Source organism: Homo sapiens, chromosome 2, assembly GCF_000001405.40.
Source record: "Homo sapiens chromosome 2, GRCh38.p14 Primary Assembly".
Lineage (NCBI taxonomy): Eukaryota > Metazoa > Chordata > Mammalia > Primates > Hominidae > Homo > Homo sapiens.
In genome coordinates this window covers 19,703,466-19,724,707 of record NC_000002.12, presented here as the reverse complement: position 1 = coordinate 19,724,707, position 21,242 = coordinate 19,703,466, and the positions used below count along the sequence as shown (strand labels likewise).

Here is a 21,242-nt window from a genome sequence, read left to right as displayed (position 1 = left end):
ATTTTTTTTGCATTCAGTCTTCAAAATCCAGTGTGTATTTTACACTTAGAGCACATTTCTATTCAGATGCTAGATTTTCATTGGCAATACTTGATCTGTATTTAGAGTTCATAAAATTGAGTGTTGAAAACGCAGATTCACACACCCAAAGTGTTCCAACTATACTTAAAAGTTTTCCAATAACTGACTGAGCTATTAGTTTTTAATTTTAAATTCATTAAAATGAAATAAAATTCAACGTTCATATTCTCAGTTGTGGTAGCCAGGGTGTGAAGCCTCCCTGGCCGCATGCGGCCGGTGACCTCTGGATGGAACAAGGTGGATGGAGGGCATCATTCCACAAACCACATGAAGGAAACTCATGACTTGAGTTAGGAGGTCAGGCTGTGGGCAGTGGTACCCAGGCCTTCCCCGCCTCTGGATCTGGCTGCAGTTCTGAGCTCATGCTTTGCTGCCCGCTACTCCGTGCGTGTTTAGGATGCCAGGCCTCTGCTCTTGAGGCTTTCATTCTACTTCTCTCAGTCATTAATTCACACATTTAATCAAATCAGTTGAGGGCTTAACTACGAGCCAGGTGGATATTGTGGTGAGTTGAGCAAAAGAATCTAGGCCCCTGCTCTTTGAGGAACTTAGTTAATTTGAAACACTGCGGGCAGCTAGACAATAGGTAAACAAGCAGGATCATTTCAGATGATGGTGACTGCAATGATAATTGCAGGGATAATACCTAGAGACAATCCAGTGGGTGAAACTTTTAGAGCAGGGGCAGAGAGGTCTTTCTCAGGATAGGTCAGTGGAGCTGAGACCGGGAGACTGTGGGCCAAGTAGAGATTCAGAAGAACAAGCATGCCTGTCAGTGAGGGCTCAGTGCACAGGCCCTAGGATGTTTGCAATCCAGGAGGCCCGTGTGGCAGGAGCTTGGCAGAAGATATCTGTGCAGGAAGTGATGTCTTTAGTGGTTGGTGAGCCCTCCAACCATGGGAAGCAGAATGGAGTGGTGCTTACCCCCTCTGGCTTCAGATGTGGTTGCCTTTGCTCAAACCCCAGTCGCACCCACTAGCCTTGGGCTATTACTTATCATCTCTGGGCCTCTGATTTCACATCTGTAAAATGAGGGTAATAACCCTGTCTATAGATTTGTTGTGAAGATTCAACATGTTATTACATGTAAAACACCTGGCAAATTGGAGGTGCATGGAAATGTTAGTTACCGTTATGGTTCACTTATCAACTATGCCAAGCTCAGCACTGGGCTCTCCTAATTCTGGGATGGAGATGGGTACATGAAGGAGAATGAGTGGTGGTCGAGTTTTTGGTTCCTGTGCTGACCACGCATGTTTGCAGCACCCTCTCCCCCATGACAGCTGCCCCACAGGAAGTACTGCAGGAGAGGCACTGAGGGAGCACGGGGCATGTGGGTAGGACACCGCCACCTGAGTTCTCCTGAGTTCCTGACTCAGCTTGGCCCATGCACCAGGTGCGGGGGATAATGGAGAGCCCAGTTGGGCAGGTGGACCAGCTCTGCTCAGCCCCAGCTCATTCAGTTCCTCTCCATCACTTGTTTGTTGACAGGTTATCATGGCAACAGAGGAGGCACAGAAATGAAACAGAACCGCATGAAACGGAACAATCTGGACTTTGATTTAACATTGATTATAATTCTGCTCTCTGTCTCTCATGTCTCTTCCAAGTCCTGGCTCTTTTCTTCAGTCTTGGGATATCTTTTTGTCTCTTGCCTCAGAGAATCAGATGACTTAAAAATAAACTCACCCCTGAACTTCAGAAAAACAGTGATTTATTTTTCCCACATAGAATGCATGTTGAGGGAAGACCTGCTCTCCTGGGAATTGGGGAATTAGAGGGCCTTGCAATTCAACAGCCGCTCCTACAGGGCTGGTGGGGGAGGGCTGTGAAGATCACATATTGTCATCATCACTTTGTTTTTAAAACCCCCATCCAGGCTCCGCAGTGTTCAGCATTTCCAGTCGAGCATTCAAAATGTCTCATAGTTGAGGAAGGAGGCCTAGTGAAGAGTTTTTTCCAGGATTTTAATTACCAGTGTGTGTAACATGCAGAACTTTTATTGGGCACCCAGCCAAGCATGGGGCTGGAGAGGGGTAGGCTCATTTCCAGCCTGGAGCTCTCCAGCCTGCATGGCTCAGGTGGGTGTTGGCCCACACAGACTCAAAAACTGATGCTGGTCTGAGGAACAGAAGCAAAGAGACCCCACCTCATGCGAAGATATAACTGGTGCACCCGTTCACCTATTCATTTGTTAAACACATATTTATGGGATACTGCTGTGGTCTGAATGTTTATGTTGTCCCCAGATTCATATATGGAACTCCACCCCAGCATAATTATTAGGAGGTAGAGCCTTTGGGAGGGGATTAGCCCATGGGGGTGGAGCCCTCATGAATGGAATTAGTGCCCTTATAAAACTAGGCTTCCAAGACACTCCTCACCCCTTCCACCATGCGAGGACATGGTGTGAAGAGGGCTGTCTCTGAGGGAGCAGACCCTCACAAGACCTGGAATCTGCCAATAACTTGCTCTTGGGCTTCCCGGCCTTCAAAACAGTGAGAAATAAATGCGTGTTGTTAATAAGTCACCTCTTCTGTGGTATTTGGTGATAGCAGCCTGAACGGACATGCCTACTACTGCTGGGCACTGGTTAGACCCTGAAGAAAGAGTAAGAGACACAGTTTCCTATTCTGCATGGGTTCTGCACTTGAGTTGGGAAAATAAATAGGATAATAAGAAATGTGTACAGGATATTAAATATTGATATGGGCTACGGTGAAAAACAAAACAAGGTGGTAATGGGGAGTATTGGGCATGTGTGTGAGATTTTATTTTATTTCATTATTTTTTTTTTGAGACAGGGTCTTGCTCTGTCACCCAGGCTGGAGTGCAGTGGCATAATCACGGCTTACTGCAGCCAGCCTTGACCTGATGGGCTCAAGCAATCCTCCTACCTCAGTCTCCCGAGTAGCGGAGAATACAGGCATGCACCACCACACCCGGCTGGCTGGTGGGTAGTTAGTGGTAGTGGTGCAAAGTCATGAGATTTTGGATGTAATTTGAAGGTTGAACTGGTACCATTTGTGGTGGGATTTGATGTGGGGTTAGGAGAGAGAGGAGTCAAGGATGATTCCAGGACTTTTGGCTTGGATATTAGTCAGGGTTCTCCAGAGAAACAGAACCAATAATATATGTGTGTGTATGTGTACATACATGTAGAGACAGAGAGGGAAGGAGATTATTTTAAGGAATTGGGTCACATGATTGTAGAGGCTGCTGACAAGTCCAAAATCTATAGAGTGGGCCATCAGGCTAAAGACCCAGGGAAAAGCCAGTGTGTAGTCCGAGGCCATCTGTTGGAGAATTCCCTCTTGCTTGGGGGAAGTCAGTCTTTTGTTCTGTTCAGGCCTTCAACTGATTGGATGAGACCCACACTTATGGAGGCCAATCTTCTTTACTCGAAGTCTACTGATTTAAATATTCATCTCGTCCAATAAAAAGAAAAGAAAACTTCCTCATAGGAACATCCAGAATAACGTTTGATGAACTATCTAGGCACTGTGGCCCAGCCAAGTTGACACATCAAATTCACTATCATAGCTTGGCAACTAGAAGAATGGATTTGCTATTGACTGAGAAGGGGAGGGCTTTAGTGACTCAGGTTTGGCTGGGTGGTCAGGAGTTTGGTTTGGGGCATGTTAAGTTTGAGACGTTGTTAGACATCTGGATGGAGATGCCAATAGGCAGCTATGTAATGGGCCTGGATTTCAGTGACAAGGACCAAGCAGGGGATAGATGGTTGGAAGTCATAAGCCCTCAGAGATGGCATTTAAAGCTACAAGAAGAGGGAATGAGAACCCAGAGGAAGGAAGCACAGAGGGAACCATTCTTATGGGCTCTTTTCTTATCAGGAAATCTGTGCCCAAGGTGGCTCTCCACCTGCCTGGTCAGAGGACTACTGTGCTGCTTTGGCCTTTGGGCTTCTTGCATTGAGCTCTGCCAGAAAAAAACAAAACAAAAAACCCAACCGAAGGGGCCAAGTTAGTTCTGGAATCACTTGTAGGGGTGGGGTGAGTGGAGCTCTAAGAACATGCACTGCAGTCTGATGTGTTTCAGGCTTCCCCTCTGATGTTCTGGTGGTTCTCAGTGTCATGTATTCATTCTCTCAACACCCTCTTACTGAGTACCAGCTCTGCTTCATGTTTGGTATCTTCCGGAAACACACACAACAGGCACTGTCTGATGGGGCAGACACAGACATGCGAGTGAAGCTGTGTGGCAAGTGCCCTGGGAGTGGGAAAGCCAGGGGTGGGGTCCAGAGGAAGGACAGCTCGCTCGCAGTCTTCTGGCTTGGAATCCAGCCCCTTCTTTGCAGCTAGTATCTTTTGCAAGATGCTGTCAACCTCCATCCACCCAATGTCATTGCCTCTTTTCCTGAGTGTTTGTCTACCTTCTGGCTGGGCACCTGGACTCTCCTGCACACCCACCTTCTTGGCCCTTGGCTCATCTGCTGTTATTTGGCCTGCTTGGATTGTCATACCCCAGGTCCAGGGCCATTCTCATGGGCCCAAGCCCGATTTCTTTCTTTGCATTTAGCGAGTTGTCATTTTTCCCTCCCTTTGCATAGGGATTCAACTCCTGCAATCAACTCCAGGGTTGTTAGCTTAGCTAGGACACAGCCCCGGCCTGGAATAATATCATTGAAGGCAATTTGGAAGTTTCCATCATGTTTCAATAACCTCATGAGCTGTTTTATGGGCAGACCTTTTGCGGGGAGGCAAAGGCATGGATGGCAGAGACTTTGAGATGCTCTGGCCCTTATCTCAGGTCCATCCCTTCTTACTCCTCAGTGTCTCTGCCTGTCTGGCCCAAAGCCTTGAGCTAACTCTCCAAACCTGGCAAAGCTGGAAGCTTTGTCACCACTTTCAAATGTTCTGTCCCATGGCTGGGTGCCAGCACCACACAACCCAGGCATTTTTATCCCTGAATGCCCACGTCCTCCCTCCTGGTCCGGATTGTAATCTTGCCTACATTTCAAGGGTAATTTCATCCATCTGGCCCTGATTCGGGCATCCCAAGTGTGCCTGATGAAGACTCAGGTGCCAAGATTTCTCAAACTGGTTCCAAGCAAACCCCAAGCGGGCCCCAAGGCAGAGGTTCCTCTGTATTTTCTGGGTAAGATGCTCTCTGCCCACCAGAGCATGCAGTGTTCTCTTACGGAGAAGTCAAGGGAGACCTAATTGCTGTAAACGCTGTCTCTTGGAAGAGGTTCCCAGGCAGAGAGAGCTGGGCTCACAGGCCAAGTATGGGAGCTTGAATCACAGGGGCTTGGCTGGGAAGGGGCACATGAGACAGAGGGGATTGGGGGGAGCATGCTGGGCTGGCTGGTGCCTGGCCTCCACCTTACTAAGCCTCTTGGTGTGATGTCCCTTCTTCTGGCCTTGCTGCTCTTCAGCACATAGTCCCTCATGCTGGTCCCCTAGGGCAGGGGATCTGCATCGAGATAGAAACTGGAGAGGGGGAACCAGGAAGGGCAAGAAACGAGAGCCCTACATGGAGGAGGGCCCAACCCAGACTCCAGGAATTTGCCTGTTGCCAGAGAAGCTGCTGAAGGCCTTTGCTGGTGGGACAGGCACTTGCTGTGCCCAGCTTCCAGGTACTCCTGGACAAGCCTTTCTCCCTGCCACCCTTTGCACCTGAATTCAGCGATCAGCTGCGGGGTAGCTCACTGGCGACCTCACGCTCAGGTGGAGCTTTCCCCGGCCAAACCCTGGGGACTCTGGAAAGCATCCTTGTTATGTTGGCTCACAATCGCTCCCTCCTTGAGCAACCTGGGCCCCCAGGGAATCCAAGTTCTGGGTGGTCCTGAGTTCTCAAATGAAATGCTATTCTAATGATGCCAAGCCAAGTGGCAGAGACACGAGGCCAAGGTGGGGCTCACAGGATGGCATATCTAGATAACAGGATTGGACCCTCAGGTACTGAAAGAGTAAAATGCGCTGGGATTGGCGGGAAGCATAGCCTATCAGAATCATTGATGAGCTAGCATTTTAAAAGCTGCAATTTGGATATAAATTTGAGTGGATCTGCGAATTGCTTCCTAAACGTGGAAGGAGAGTGATGGAGGAGGAAGAATTGTTTTCATGAAGTGGAAAGAATTTAAATTATTATACTTTGTACAGGCCTCGAAAGTGTTTGAATACGTTGGTTTTCTCCCGTTAGTGAATATTATTTGCTGGCTTGTTTGCACATTTAAAAAAATAGCATATTAAGTAATTTTAGTGTTCACTGTGCAGTTTGAATTCTGACCTAACTTTGGAGGAATAACTTATATCCTTTGGAAGAATCTGTCTATACACACAGATAATGGCTATGCTCATTGGCATGATTTGGTATGTCCAGTACAGACCCTCCCCTTTCATTTCTGAATCCCACCCTTCCACATTACCTACCCATATTGATAAAGCTTCATCCACTCAACTTGCCCAAGTGTGGTTTAGTTTTGAAATATAAAAGGGCTGTTGTTCTTAACATGGCAAATTTAGATTAAAATTTAGACATGTTAGTAGTCCTGAAGTGTGTTCTTCCAGCTGGCCTGTACAATTTCTTATGGACTGGGATAGAAACGCATTGGGAGAGTCAAGAATATGGGCTCCACAGGCAGGTACCGCATCTGTCCCATTCTCCACTGTACCCAAACACCCAGCATTCCCTGGGACTCATATCCTGTCGAGCCAACATGCCAGAGCATAGCCACTTCCCTCCCAGGGTACAGCATCAACTGATCCCAAGGCTTGGCCTGAGAAGTGCCCCTTCTCCTTGGGGCCTGGGGCCCAGTCTGCCACCCAGCCCCTTGGGGGAAGGCTTTGGACTTGTTATGTTTGAGATGCCTGTTAAGTATTCACTGGGAGATGCCAAGTAGGCCATTGGATCTATGGGTCTGGGAGAGGTAATTTTAAATTGGCACATACGTGGTTTCTAAAGCCCCATGAGACAATTGGAAATCACCCAGGGACAGAGTGTTGGGAAAGAAAAGAAGAGACATGAGTTGCTTGGCTCAGGAGACTCCTATATAAACTCTGGAGAAATGAAAGGAACCAGCTGAGGAGTGCTTTTGAGGCAGGAGGAGAACCAGGAGAGTGTTGAGGACATTCAGAGAAAGCGCTGAGAATTAGCCTCTCAGGGCTGCCACAACCAAGTAAGACAACTGAGTGACTTAAATAACAGAAATTTATTTCTCATAGTTCTGGGGCTAGGAGTCCAAGGTCAAGGTATCAGCATGGTTGGCCTCTTCTGGAGACTGGAGGGCCTCTGCCCCAGCTTCTGGGGGTTTGCAGGAAGTCTTCAGTGTCCTTGGCTTCAGCTGCATCACCCTGCTCTCTGCCTTCATCCTCACATGATGTTCTTCTTAGGTTTGTGGCCCTGCAGCCAGATACCTCATTTTTATAAGGACATCCACCATATTGAATGAAAGACCCACCCTACTCCAGCATTACCCCGTCCTTACTAATTATACCTGCAGAAGAGCAGAATCAGTGGAAAGGAAAAGACCAGAAGGCACGAGCCACTATGGCATAGTGGGGCGAGAGTCTAGTTCTCCTCTCTGTGACTTTCCCTGCAGCCACTGCCTCTCTGAAGCTCTGATAGAAGGTTATAAGTCACTTTAAAACCAAAAACAATTTGCTAAAGAAATGCAGCACAGGGGCTGGGCATGGTGGCTCACATCTGTAATACTAGCACTTTGGGAGGCCAAGGCAGGAGGATCGCTTGAGCCCAAGAGTTTGAGACCAGCCTGGCAACATGGTGAAACCCTGTCTCTACAAAAAGTACAAAAATTAGCCAGGTGTGGTGGTGCATGCCTGTAGTCCCAGCTATTCAGGAGGCTAAAGTGGGAGGATCACTTGAGCTGTGGAGGTTGAGGTTGCGGTGAGCCATGATCGCACCACTGTGCCCCAGCCTGGGTGACAGAGCCAGACCCTGTCTCAAAAAACAAACAACAACAACAAAACAAATAAAAACGCAGGGACACAATGTGTAATGGTATAATGGTATTATTGGTGGTTTTTATCTTAATGGCAAAGTTCTGGGGGTTGGAAATTTGGAAATAATGTCACTGAGTGCCAACTTGGGGTAGTGTTACTGGGGTTTGGGTCCAGGCTTATTACCTCTCAAAGAACTGTACTACTAATGTTGCATTTTATATAGAAGTAAGGGACAATTGAAGGAGGCATTAGGGTCTCTGAAAAACCCTTAAAATTCTGCCATTCTGTCCTCTCTCAGTTAGAGTCAGCCTTCCTTGGGCTTCTGTGCATTGCCTCCAAAACACCAGAGATTGTTTCTGAGACAGTGGGCCTCAGAGCTCCCCCCTACCCCATTCCCTTCTTAGCTATCCAAGCCCCCATGCCCATGCTACCTTACCCAGCTGGTCACTCTGGGCAGGCTGCCCATGGGCCAAGGATGACACTCATCTTTGGCTCTCCTAATGGAGGCTCCAAATAAGTGAGCCAGGGAAGCATTCTGAGGCCAACAAAACTTTTACCCTTCCTTTGATATGTCAGGCCCTAGGGGTCCTTTTATAAGCCTGTGGGTAATCTACAAGCCATGGAAATGCCTACCTGTGGATATGGGTGATTATCGGTTTTCAGATGAGTACTTTCTCTATGTAAGGGTGTTTGTTGTTGTTGTTGTTGTTATTGTTGTTTCTTTGTTTGTTTTGAACATTGAGCTCCACAAGGCTGGAGAGCTTGAAGAGCAATTGGATCCATTATCCCCTTAGGTCCTAGCTTCTAGGGGGAGGGGGAAATCATTACTTCTTCATCTCCAGCAGCTGGAGAAACTGGAAAGGGATTAGGGCAGGACCAGAAGAGCAGAAGAACATTCCTCGGACTCCAGGCACAGGACACTTTAAGAGTCCTTATGAAAGGTCTAGTTCCTATATCTGGGCTGCCCTGAGGGAGGGTAGCTATGGGGAGATCTGGGGAAGAAATGAAGCCCGGGGAGCTCCTCAAATCCAGAGATGACCAAACTCTCCTGCTTGAGCAGAGAGTTCCCCTGCAATAAGGTAGACTTGCATTTCTTTGAGCCAAAGAAACTGAGTGGAATAAGAGGCTTGCTCAGTGCTATTTTCATGGAAAGCTGAACTCTGAGACCAGATTGGAGGGTGGGTTTCCATCAAACGAGAGGACCCTGCACCCACCACAGATTGGCCGCTCCCAGGCTGGTCGCAGTCATTAACTGGAATCCTATTGGCTGGTTTAGGGGTGTTGCTAAGGAAGCCTTTAAGTGTGGGGTGAGAGGTCGGCAGAGTCTGGTAATGGGAGTTTGGTCCCCCACAAGTACTCAAAAGTTTTTGTAGAAATTCCCTTGCTCTGCCCTCTCAGTAGACGATTGCCCTATTTGTAGGCCCATCTGCTTTAAACTCTTACAGGAGCTGAAAGGTCAAATGTAGTTTTAAAAGGTTTTAGAAACCAGTGGAATTTCAGGGAGAAGTTCTTCCAAATGTGGTGAGAGGCTGTGTGCTTTACTGAATGGATGTTTATATCTTGTGGTGTGAATCAGAAATATGATCACCAATGCCCAAACCACTTCCTTGGCTAGTGGGTACCTACGTTTTCTGCCAGCTAGGGCACTGGATATAATCCTGTGACCCTATTTTGTGTTTGACCTCAGAATCTACCCTTTTCCCCTCGGGCTCTCCCTGAATTTTCCCACATTTTCTTCCTGGGAAGTTCCAGCCCTGTCCACTGGTTCGCTGAGACCCAGATGGCACATGGGCATGGATTGGCCATGGTCTAGGGGTGAGGGTGGGTCGCTTCCCTTGATCCCTGGCTCCAGGTCTGGCACACAGTGGGGGTTCAGAGTACTCATTCAAGTTGGTGGAAAGAACTGCAAAAGCCAAGGTGGGAGGAACAAAGTCTCCCCCTGACCTCAATTTGATTTCCTAAGGGGGCTCTGCAGTAAATTTGGTAATGCTCACTTGTCACAAAGATATCTCTTGGACGTTTTGACAGGGCAGGAGCTAAAGGAGACAAGGGTGGAGCAATGAGTACAGCCCAGGAGGATTAGAAGGATTCAATGCGGGCATATCAGAACCATGTTTGGCACTCGTGTCACAAGAGGGTTTCTTAAAGAAATGCAATCTGGGGTAAGAACTGGGTTTAAATTTGGGCTCCATTTTTTACCAGCTGTGGACTTGGTAAGTTGCTTAACCTTTCTGCACCTCAGATTTGCCGTCTACACAGTGAGACTAATCATCACTGACCTTCCTACCTCAAAAATCAGGTGCAGTGCTCGACAGGAGCTAATGAACATTTGTGAGTGCTTTGTGAACCCTTAAGTGCTGTGCATATGGAGGGATCATATAAATAGTCTAGGTTATTGTTGATACAAATATCTGGTTGGCCCACTAAGCTGTGGCCCCACTGTTGAGTTTTTTTGGGCATCAATTTCCTGTTCTCCCATCACCGCTTCTCTTCTCATCCCTGACCGTTTTTCATCTGTATTTCTCCCAACAGCTAAAATTAATTATTTGTGAAGGCTTCCCTAAGCCCCTCCAGAGTGTCAGTGGTGGGGAGAAGTAGGGGGTCAGGACACATTGCTTTCATCATGGAGCGAGGCAGGAGGGAAAAGACGGTGGCTGGATCAAATATCTGCCCCTCACATGCTGCCGGTGGGCAGTGATGCTGGTGTTTTGACACGTGTCAGGTGGTTTTGATTCTAACAATTGCTCACCAGAGCAGTGGGACTTGTTTGGATAAATCAGAACCAGCCTGAATCTGAACTCTTTCTTTCACTCAACAATGGAGTTTGCTCTTCTTTTGTCTCTTCCTAAGTTTCATGTTGCCTGTTCATGGGGCAGCGCACCTGAGCTCCAGGGAAGTGACCCTCATTCTCTTTCTCTCTGGATGATTAACTGGTCTTCCCTCTTCTCAGAGGGCACGTGGGGGTAGAACAGGTTTTGTGTAGGTGCAGGGTGAAGATGCCGTTTCCACCTGTGGCCTCTGTGTGCCAGCACCATTTCTGCATCAGAGCAGAAGCCATTTGGAAAGTGATGAATTTTCCGTATCTCCTTCCCTCCCTCCTCTTTCTTCCTGGAACAGCTTTGTAAATGGATCCCACAAACTAACATTACTAGAGACTTTTAAGGAGGGCATTAGAGATATCAGTGGGCTTAAAAACTAGCAACAGAGGAGTTTGGGTCAGATACAGACCTTGTGGGGCCCATGGGTTCCAAGCAGAGCAATTGCTTGGGTCATGCTTGCTGATTGCGAGGCTCCAGAGAGGGCCTTCTTAGGAATTTTGAGACTGCAAAGTTATTTCTAGAAACCACTTTCTCAGGAGATACGGCCACCAGGGTACCCACAGAGCAGTTCTTATCACATTTGCCCATTCAGTGAACAACCAGTAATTGAGCTCCTACTTTTTGACAAGCCCTGGGGCAACAGAGATGAATGGGTCTTGGTTCGAAGATACAGGAAAGTTTATCCTCTAGCAAAAGAGATTAAAAGGTAAACAGGTCTTTTTGATATAAGGTGATTAGTTGGGATGGAGGCAGGCCCAGGAATGTGGCAGGACAGAGGAAATATATTTCTGTGATGTGGGGCAGTCTTGGAAGGCTTCCTGGAGGAGGCAGAGAGAGAGAAAGAGAGAGAGAGCGAGCGAGCTCATGTGTGAAAGATGAATTGGCATGAATAGGAAAGGCCGCAGCAAAGGGTTGCTGAAGGGTAGCCAACTTATATGGTTTGAATGTGTGTCCTCACCAAATCTTATGTGGAATTGTAATCCCTGATGTTGGAGATGGGGCCTGGTGGGAGGTGACTGGGTCATGGGGGTGGATCTCTCATGGCTTGGGGCTAAAGGAGAGAAGGGCTGTCTTCTCAATAAGTGAATTATTACCATGTAATATGCAAGCACCTGCTTCGCCTTTTGCCATTGAGTAAAAGCTCCTTGAGGCCTCCCCAGAAGCCAAGCAGATGCCAACACCATGCTTCTTGTACAGCCTGCAGAACTGTGAGCCAATGAAACCTCTTTTCTTTATAAATTACCCAATCTCAGGTATTTCTTTATAGCAATGCAATAATGGCCTAACAAACCAACTACCCAGATTCACTGGGGCTTAGAGTCTTCCCAGGATGTGGGACTCTCAGTGCTAAAACTGAGATAGTTTTGGGCAAATTAAGATGGTAGGTCACCCTAGGTAGTAGAAGGGTCACAACTTTTACAGTTGGAAAGACCTGGATTCAAATCTCTGCTCTGCTACTTAAAAGCTGTACGACCCTAGGTAAATTGTTGAACCACTTTGAACCCTAATTTCCTTACCTAGAGGATATACAGGCCACCTTCTTAGGACTCTGCCTAGGTCAGTGTTATCAGTAAAAGGAAGTTATTATTTTAGATGGAAAAAGCAGTATTTTCAAACGCTAGGCAGAATATAGTTGGAGTAGAGCACAAAGAAGTGGGCGGTAAGAAGTTGGCTGGAAATAGAAGCAGGGGCCAGATCATGAGGAATTTAGAATGTTTTCCCTTAGAACAATGGTGGTTCACTAACTTAACTTTACAATATGAGTAAGGCAGTCAGATTCTTGTCTTAGAGAGATTGTCCTGGAAGTAGAGGGGAGCACATTTTTGAATCTGGAGGGAGAAGAGAGGGTAAGAATGATGCAGTAAAGTGATTACAAACAGGGAGTTATATTCTTAGAGAAAACAAGAGGCCACCAGCCAGCCCAGGATCACATCAGGGGCCCCAGTGGTTAAAAGGGACAGGAACCTCATCTTCTGAGGTCAGAGGCTGCTTGTTGGGTGCAGCTACATGCTGAGCTGGGTTGGAAGGTTATGTGCTTACCAAACAGATCTGACACCTGGGAAACTGTGTGCATGAGGATGACTTCATGAGCTCCTTGAGATATGTTTTGGGTCCTTTGGTTAATGGGCGTGTCCTTCCTCTCTTCTCTTCTTCCTTGGCTTCATCCTGCATGGGAGGCTTCTTGCCAGTGCTTTGTCGCTCATCATCTCCATGGCGATGGAACAATGGTATGGTAAACACATGACCTCACTGTGTAATTATGCAAAAGAGTGAGCAGAGAAAGGAAGCTTGGGGTTTGATGAGTCTAGTTAGGGAGGGAAATCTTCTGAATCAGATGCCTGTGAAGTGGGCCCTGGCCTTGGAAGAGGAAGAGGATGTGCTAGCCCCCCAGTTGAAATAACTTGGATCAGACTGCTCTTTGGAATCAGGAAGGACTTTCTGTAGATAATGATAAGCAGAAGAAGTTATAAAAGAGAACTGACTGGGTTGGCTAACCTCATACAAATAAGTTGTTTTTTGCATGTAAATGAAATAAATGAAAAGACAACAAATTTGAGAGATTCTTTAAGAATCTTTAAGAAGACTTTTTTTGAAAGCAAATTATAGTAATTAAAGAAAAAAAACCCTAGTAGAAAATGTGACAAAGGATATAATCAGAAAATTTATAATGGAAAAAAGTTTCATTCATTCATTCATCTTTTCAATAATGTATTGAGCCCTTCCTATGCAGCAAGTGTTACTCTATGTGCTGGAGATACAGCGATAAACAAAACAGGCAAAAATCCCTGCCCTCATGAAGTTTCCATACTTTCTGCTATTTTTCTTTATGTTTTCTTAATTAGTTTTTTTCTTAATTAGTTTTATTAACATCAATTCTAGATACTTTCTTTATTCATCTGGAATTATGCTCACATAAAATTGAGTTCAGAATTTATTCTCCCCCTCAAAATAAACCATTTACTTTAGTTAATGCTTTAACCATTAATTCTTCCTCTCCTCCCTGATGAATAATGCTCCTTTTATGAAATAATACATTTATTTTATAAAATAATGAATCTCTCTATTCATATGTTTGGAGCTGTATAGCCTGTCGAGTGATTTAATTCACAACTCTGATTGCAGCTCCCTACTGTTTTTATTATTGTGGCTTTGTACCATGTCAGATGCCATAAGTTTACATGATTGGGAATAACCGTGACAAAAGTGACTTGAACACCGTATTGGTGTCTTTCTCCATGAGATGGCACTCACAGTCTTATTTCCTACCTTTATGAATAATTAGTGATTTTTGAACAGTCCCAGAACAAAGAAAACTTAAGTTTCACAATTTCCAAAGCTGACATCAAGTACTCTCATGCTTCATATTCTGTCATGTTTCTAAAGCTTGCATATTTTCCTCTCTCTGGGACATTAGATCTTTACACGTGGACATGGCTGGGTGGGGCTGTGCTCCTCTGTGTTCTTGAATGCTTCCAGCATGAGGGTGTACAGTACCTGTTAGAGCAGTCCTGCAGGCCTTGCTCTTCCCCTCCTGTCGTATACAATTCTTCTTTTCAAAAAGTATTTGAGAAAGAATTTGAAAAAAAAAAAACTTAATGTTTCTACAGGGAACATGATATTTCTTCAAGTCTGCTTGTATGTCTCACAATAAATTTTAAATAATCTTTTTAATAGAACTGGTGTGTTTTTTCATGAAGATTATTTTTAGGTTTATTATTAATATTGTTATTTCACTTTAAATATAATCTTTTCCCCCCACCTGTATTTTTAAACTAGCTACTTCTGGTATATAATCATCTATAGATGCGTATATTTTTAACTTATTGCCCACCTTACTAAAATCCTATTAGTTCTGGTAGTTTTCTCTTGAATTTTTTTTTTTTTTGGCAGACTAGGATATTGTCTATAAATAATGATATTTTGATTTCCTGACTTTTAAAAAATATTACTTTTCTGTTTCAGGTTATTGACTAGAAATAGAAACTATATAATCATGGTAGGGCTAGAAGTCTTACTTGCTTTGTTTCTAATTTTGGTAGACATGTACCTATTGTTTCGCCATGAACAGGAAGTTGATTACAAGTGTAAAATCCTGTCTTCCTGTTTGCTACGTTTTTTTTTCTAATCCACATAATGTATTACATTAAAAAATCTGTATCTTTAGATCTATTAGGATGATCTTATGGCTTTTGTTCTGTGACAGATTGATGTAGACTATTACATACTTCCATATCTAAAGTCATCATTGAATTCCAGGGATAAATACAATATTAGTCATATTAAATTATTCTTTGAATATCTCCTGAATTTATTAGTTTTTCATTTGGGATTTTGCTATACTCTATCCTTGAGCATATATTTTTGCTATACTATATATTTGAGTATATGGTATTATATACTATAGTATATAACATATAGCATATATATAGTATTAGTATATACCCTAGTATTAGCATAATTTTTCATTTGGGATTTTTGCCATACTATATACTCAAGTATGCAGTATATGTTAATACTTGAGGAATACATTTTTTCTATATTATATACTTGAATATAAGTATATAGCATACTCCAGTACATGGTATAGCAAAAATCTCAAATGAAAAATGAATACATAATTAACATTGGTCTGTGTGTGTATTACTTATACATCATATAATGTTATATATGTATTCATTTGTATATTATCTTTGCCAGGTTTTGTCATGAAATTATCCCTTAAAAAAGAGATTGGAAAGCTTTCCATCTTTTTTCTCTGCTCTATAACAATCTGAAAGCACTCATTCGTAAAACTGTCTGAGCTCAGAGCCTTTTGTAGAGATAATTTGTCCACAATTTTTCTCAGCATGGTTAATAGTTCTTGAGTCAATCTTTCATCTTCCTAGAAAATTGTCTATTTTATCAAGATGTTCATGGCAATAAACATAGCTGCTCCTACAGAGCACTCTGGCCATGGACTTTAATTAAGTTTATCCTGATTTTCTTTGGAGCAGCTGAGGCAGGCTAGACAGTTCTAAAGACAGTAATGGATTACTAAAGGAGAACAGGGAAAAATAGCATAGAAAATTCAACAAGCCATGGCTCCTCCTGCATCACATTCTCCGAGTTCATAGTCTCTGATCCGTAACATCTACCTTCTAGTCCTAAAGGGCTATTAGTTTTTCAGACATCTTGCCAGAAGTTTTTATTTTCTAGTTCTGGGCAAACTCCAACCAGAAGATTCTGTTTTAATATTGAAATTCCCTCTTAGACATTTCAAAGTTCTTGTGGCCAAGGCCACACGTGTGAAAGGCACTCTGAGCCTGCCCTTGGCCCTCTTTCCTTCCTTCCTGGTGTCCAGTGTGAGGGTGCCCCTCTCTCCATAGGCAAAAACAGGCCCTCATACCTGGGGGTGGCATTGTCCCAGCCTAGACTCAATCCTATTACTTTTCATTTAGCCACATAATAAACATAGTAATGGGAATACTGTTTACTTCACAACAAGGGAGAATGAAAATATATTTATAAAATCAACTGTTGCCCACCCCTAAAAAAATACATCTTGATTGAGAACTCTAAAAATATTTCAATCCAGTTTATGCACAAAGGAGACAAGTGTTTCGGATTATCAGGATGAACCCATAGAGTTTGGAAGACAAACAATTCTAGTTTATGGTCAACATTCAGCCTCTCCAACCTCCAAAAAAGATCTTTGTCATTCAGGTACCAGTTCATACCACCTAAACTTGGACAGATGGATAATGAAGGTGTTCAGAGCTAGACAGGCTGTAAAACCCTGGTTGAAACACAAGTTTTGCTCAGGAACTAGCAGAGGGAGAGCTAAGCTGTGGACCTGACCCTCATATGGTCAGCCCCTGTTGACAGGAACTCACAGAAAACACAATCAAGAAGGCCAGGTTCAGGCAGCTTACTAGTGTTACTGCAGTGCTGTGGATGTGTCTTCAGGAGGAGTCCACTTTCAGTGCCTGGTCTTCACTCTGAAGGTGAGCCTGGAGGTGTTTCTTCCCTTATTCCTTAATAAATGCTGCCCCTAAACGTTCAGGAATCCTGGAAGGTGGTGAAGAGTTTCAAATAGTCCAGTGATTGTTTTCAGACCCCCAAGCCACTGCTGAAAAGAGCTAGTCATGGCCCATGAGCTTGACTTCAAAAGGGAAGCTTGGGCCAGGCACAGTGGTTTCATGCCTGTAATCCTTTGGGAGGACGACGAGGGTGGATCACTTGAGGCCAGGAGTTCAAGACAAGCCTGGCCAGCATAGTGAAACCCTGTCTCTGATAAAAATACAAAAAATTAATTGGGTGTGGTGGCATGCACCTGTAATCCCAGCTCCTCAGGAGGCTGAGGTATATGAATCTCTTGAACCCAGGAGGCAGAGGTTGCAGTGAGCCGAGATGGTGCCACTGCACTCCAACCTAAGCCACAGAGCCAGACTGTCTCAAAAATAATAAAAAAGAAAGCTTGATCTTCTCATTCCGATTGTACACTCTTTGTAGCAAGGACTGTGACTTCTCTTTCTACCCTGGTCCCTTAAACTACATTTGTCAATGTTCATTACTGTGGATAAAATTCCAAACCAGCACAGATTTGTTTGGGGAAACAAATTCAGTGACGCAGTAGAAGCCTGAAATGAAATCTGACCCTGGGGCTGCTGCCTCTCTGGAATGACTATTTTTCTCCATGCTCCACCTATCCTTCAATGGCCGGCTCAAGTTTTAGCCTCCCCAGAAAGTCACATCTGATTACCTGGTCTAAAGGGATCTCCTCTCTCCTTAACCTTCCGGAGCACTGACTTCATGCAGTATCTCTGAATCTCACTCACTCAGCAAATACTACAAATACAACAATACGATACTAGTAAATGTTGAGCTAGTGATGAAAAATGGAATTAAGATTTACCACTTATGAAGGCAGCCTGACTTTCAGCAGGAGGTTTCGGGGTTCAGGGGCAAGTCTGGACTACAGTAGATCTCCTCCTTCCCCCTTCATTTTCCTTTCATGCCCTCTCAAATGGCGCTAGGTTATATTAAGCTGATTTCTGGTGCCAGCCAAGGAAGACCCACTGTGCACTCTCGGGTCACTGTGGGCTTATGCAGGGTTTGTGGAGATAGCCATCTCTGGACAGAGTTGGGAAATCAAGGCCTGTGTGTCTAGCACTTATATTCAAACTTGATATGTGTAGGGCAGAGTTCCATGGGGAATTATCTGTGTGTTTGCTCAGCTCAGGCAGTTCAGTGCATCCCAACTTGTTTCCCCAGGACTCAGTGTTTTATGACCAAACCAGCCCTGGGTGGAGGCTCAGCCACCACCTCCTATGTGACCTTGATCAATCTCTTCCTTTTATTGGGCCTCCCTGTGCCTGTCTGAAAAACAGGATGTTGGACTCAACAATCTGAGGCTCTTTCCATTCTGATGTTCTGTGACTCATATTTGGGCTGGCTAGGTAGAAGGACAAGACACTAGGTGCATTAGCTTGCTAGGGCTGCCATAACAAAGTACCACAGACTGGATGGCTTCAAGAATAGAAATGTATTTTTTCATGATTCTGGAGGTTAGAATTCCAAGATCAAGGGGTCAGCAGGTTTAATTTCATTCTGAGCCTTCTCTCTTTGGCTTGAAGGTAGCTGTCTTCTTCCTGTGTCTTTACATGGACTTTTCCTTGTACGTGTGCATGTCTGTGTCCAAATTTTCTCTTATTATAAGGACACCAGTCATATTGGACTAAGTCCCACTCTAAGGACCTCATTTTAACTTAACTGCCTCTTTCAAGACCTTATCTCCTAAATTCTGTCACATTCTGAGGTGCTGGGTGTTAGGACTTCAATATATGAATTGAGGGAGGGGGGAAACAATTCAGCCCATAGCACTAGGGCAGGGAGGGCCAGCAGTAAGCAGTGAAAACTTGGGTTTGAAGAAATATGTGTTTATTCATTTTAAGAATTATTAACAAGTAGCAGATTGACCTAGGCTTTGAACTGCTGTGTGGAAGTCTGTAGGGACATTCTTTAATGAATGGGTAGATTGATCTGTAGTTGGCATTACTGACATTCTCTCTACAAAAGATTAGATGGCAAGTTAAGTTCAGGAAAGAGTGAGTCCTTCGCTGTGTCTGGGGCTAAAGGTGCATCCGGGGCAAGATGAGACATAAAGATGAAAGAGTAGATTGAGGTCAGATTCTGGAAGACTTTAAATTGTAGATGAAGGAGTTTAGCCTTGTCCAGTAAGAGACAGAGATGGGTGAATAAAAGTTACCCAGGTATTTCCCTTTCTGGTGGAGGTGCCATTTGAAGGCAGGGTCTGGGTGAGGAGGAAGCACCCTGCTCTGGGACTTGAGTCTCTTACCGTGGAATTTCTAGGACTCTGGTGGGGAACCAGGGCAATGATAAAGGCCAGGACCTTCTGTACTCCTGCAGTTCCCCTGCTTTTGCAATGTTCTCTCTATGCCTATAAAATTTGGCCCTTGGAGTAAGTTTATACAGGGAAGTGTCTGGTAGAGGACCCAGGACTCTAGACCACAACACTAGAGCAGGGAGGGCCAGCAGTAAGTAGTGCTCATCTCATCTTAGAGAGCGGAAAACTAATGTTCAGAGGAGTAAAAAAAATTGCCCAACATTGTGCAGATGTGAAAGAACTAAGACAAGAACCCAGGCTTCCTGAGCATGAGCCCAGGGCTTCTACACAGTGGTAAGAAGATATAAGTGACATGCAGCAGAAGGGGTCTGGCCAAGGCAGAATGCTGTGAGATGCAGCAGGACACTGTTGAATTCATGATGCATTGCTTAGTTCAGACTGTAAATGTTCTCATACTGTTGAATGGGAACACTTAGCAGCAAACTCACAGATTGTGGTCTGCAGGGGCCCCTGTGTCCCATCATCCCCTGCACCTCCTCAGGTAATTGTGGGTGGAACGATGTGGTCTCAGAATTCTGGAGGAGCTGGTGGAGAGCACACCTCTTAGGACAGGCAGAGCTGCCTCCTAGATCTGATGACTTTTTAAGGACCCCTTCCTGTCCCCAGGCCTTGCTCCTTCCACTCAAGGATTAAGTGAGGCCCACCACAACACCATTGGGGTTGCATGGCTGTCAACTGCAAGGCAGGAGGGGAAAGGTGTCAGGTAGGTTTGGAGGTGGGGCGGGCTTGGCGTGGCATTTTACTTTTCATGGAAGACCATAACCAACTCAAACTGGATGTGAAAATGAGAGTCCCAGACCCAGTTGCTTGAAAACCAGACATGCTCTTCTTTTGCCGGGCTGCAAAGTCATGCTGGACCAGAGAGGCGGTAGGGCCTAGATTCTGCTTTCAGTGGAACTTGATTCCATTATCCTGTGCATGGGCTAATTTATGACCAAGTCTTTAAGCTTGTCTGGTCCCATTTAGGCCATGGAAAGAAGAGGGATTAATCACACCCAGCCCAGGGGATCAGCTCTAAGAACTGTGGCCAGCACCTCCTGGTGGTCATTGCTGGTGTGTGTGTGTGTGTGTGTGTGTGTGTGTGTGTGTGAGAGAGAGAGAGAGAGAGAGATTGATTGATTGATTGATTGGTTCACACACAGATGGGAGAAGCTGGGGGAGGTTTCTTGAGTATCAGCCTCCCCAGGATATCTCAGGTTTGACTTTCTACTGAGGGTATTGATGGGCAGGACTGAAGCAGGTCAGAGCTTAGACTTTCTCTTCATGGAGCTTAGCATTTGTCTTTGGTGGCAGTGATGAAGTCAGGATGAGCACAGGCTCACGTGTTGATTTTATGTGTTTTGCTTCAGTAATACACCCTCTTCATCATGGGGTGGGCTACGACATGTGGGCAGACTGAGGATGTGTGCCCTTTCAAGGCAACTGACAGCTGGAGCCCTATGGCTGGTGGAGGCAGACACAGGGCAGGGGCTCTCAGCTGGCCAGGAAGAGGGCACATTGTTGCTGGCTGGCTCAGCTGGAGCCTTAGTTGGCAGTAAAAGGGTTTTAATGTGGCCAAAGTATGTGTGTAGCTGATCTTAGAACTGATCAAAGGAATTAAAGATCCAAAATATCATTCAACAGTTATTGTTTTGCGTGTGTGTGTGTCTGTGTGTGTATGTATGTATGTCTGTTCATCTAATTAATGCTATAGTAACTGTTTCAAGTTTAATTAACTACAAATAGTTTTATGTTTCATTTATATGAGAAGTATAGACTAGCTGGAGATCTAATTGAATCCCTGCATCTTAAAATGTCAGAGCTGGGCGGCCTCTTAGAGATTGTTTGTCCCATTTCTCCCATTTGGTGCATCTAACATTGGGACCTAGAAAGGAGGGGTGACTAACCCAGGATCACTCAGCGAGATCCAGGTCTCTTATCTTGGTTTACACTAGAGTGTGCAAGAACTGTGTGTGCTGCTGGTGTGAACCTGAGGTTATTCCATCAGTAAGCCACAGTGCCTGATTTGGG

The 21,242-nt window shown here is 45.0% G+C and overlaps 1 protein-coding gene and 1 long non-coding RNA gene across 2 annotated transcripts in view; one reads left to right on the top strand and one right to left on the bottom strand.

Annotated features, from left to right (window-relative positions):
• Window positions 1–7,236: 7,236 nt before the first annotated feature.
• On the bottom strand, window positions 7,237–13,015 carry LOC105373461 (uncharacterized). Its single transcript, NR_188370.1, has 2 exons — window positions 12,866–13,015; window positions 7,237–7,446 (listed from the first exon to the last, which is right to left on the bottom strand). It is a non-coding gene; the product is annotated as an uncharacterized LOC105373461 (long non-coding RNA).
• Window positions 13,016–19,543: 6,528 nt separating this feature from the next.
• Window positions 19,544–21,242, top strand: part of LOC124905977 (uncharacterized) — an 82,330-nt gene continuing 80,631 nt past the window's right edge. Inside the window, exon 1 of the transcript XR_007086240.1 lies at window positions 19,544–19,935. The gene's annotated coding sequence lies outside the window, so the exon portion shown is untranslated. The remainder of the gene's footprint in view (window positions 19,936–21,242) is intronic.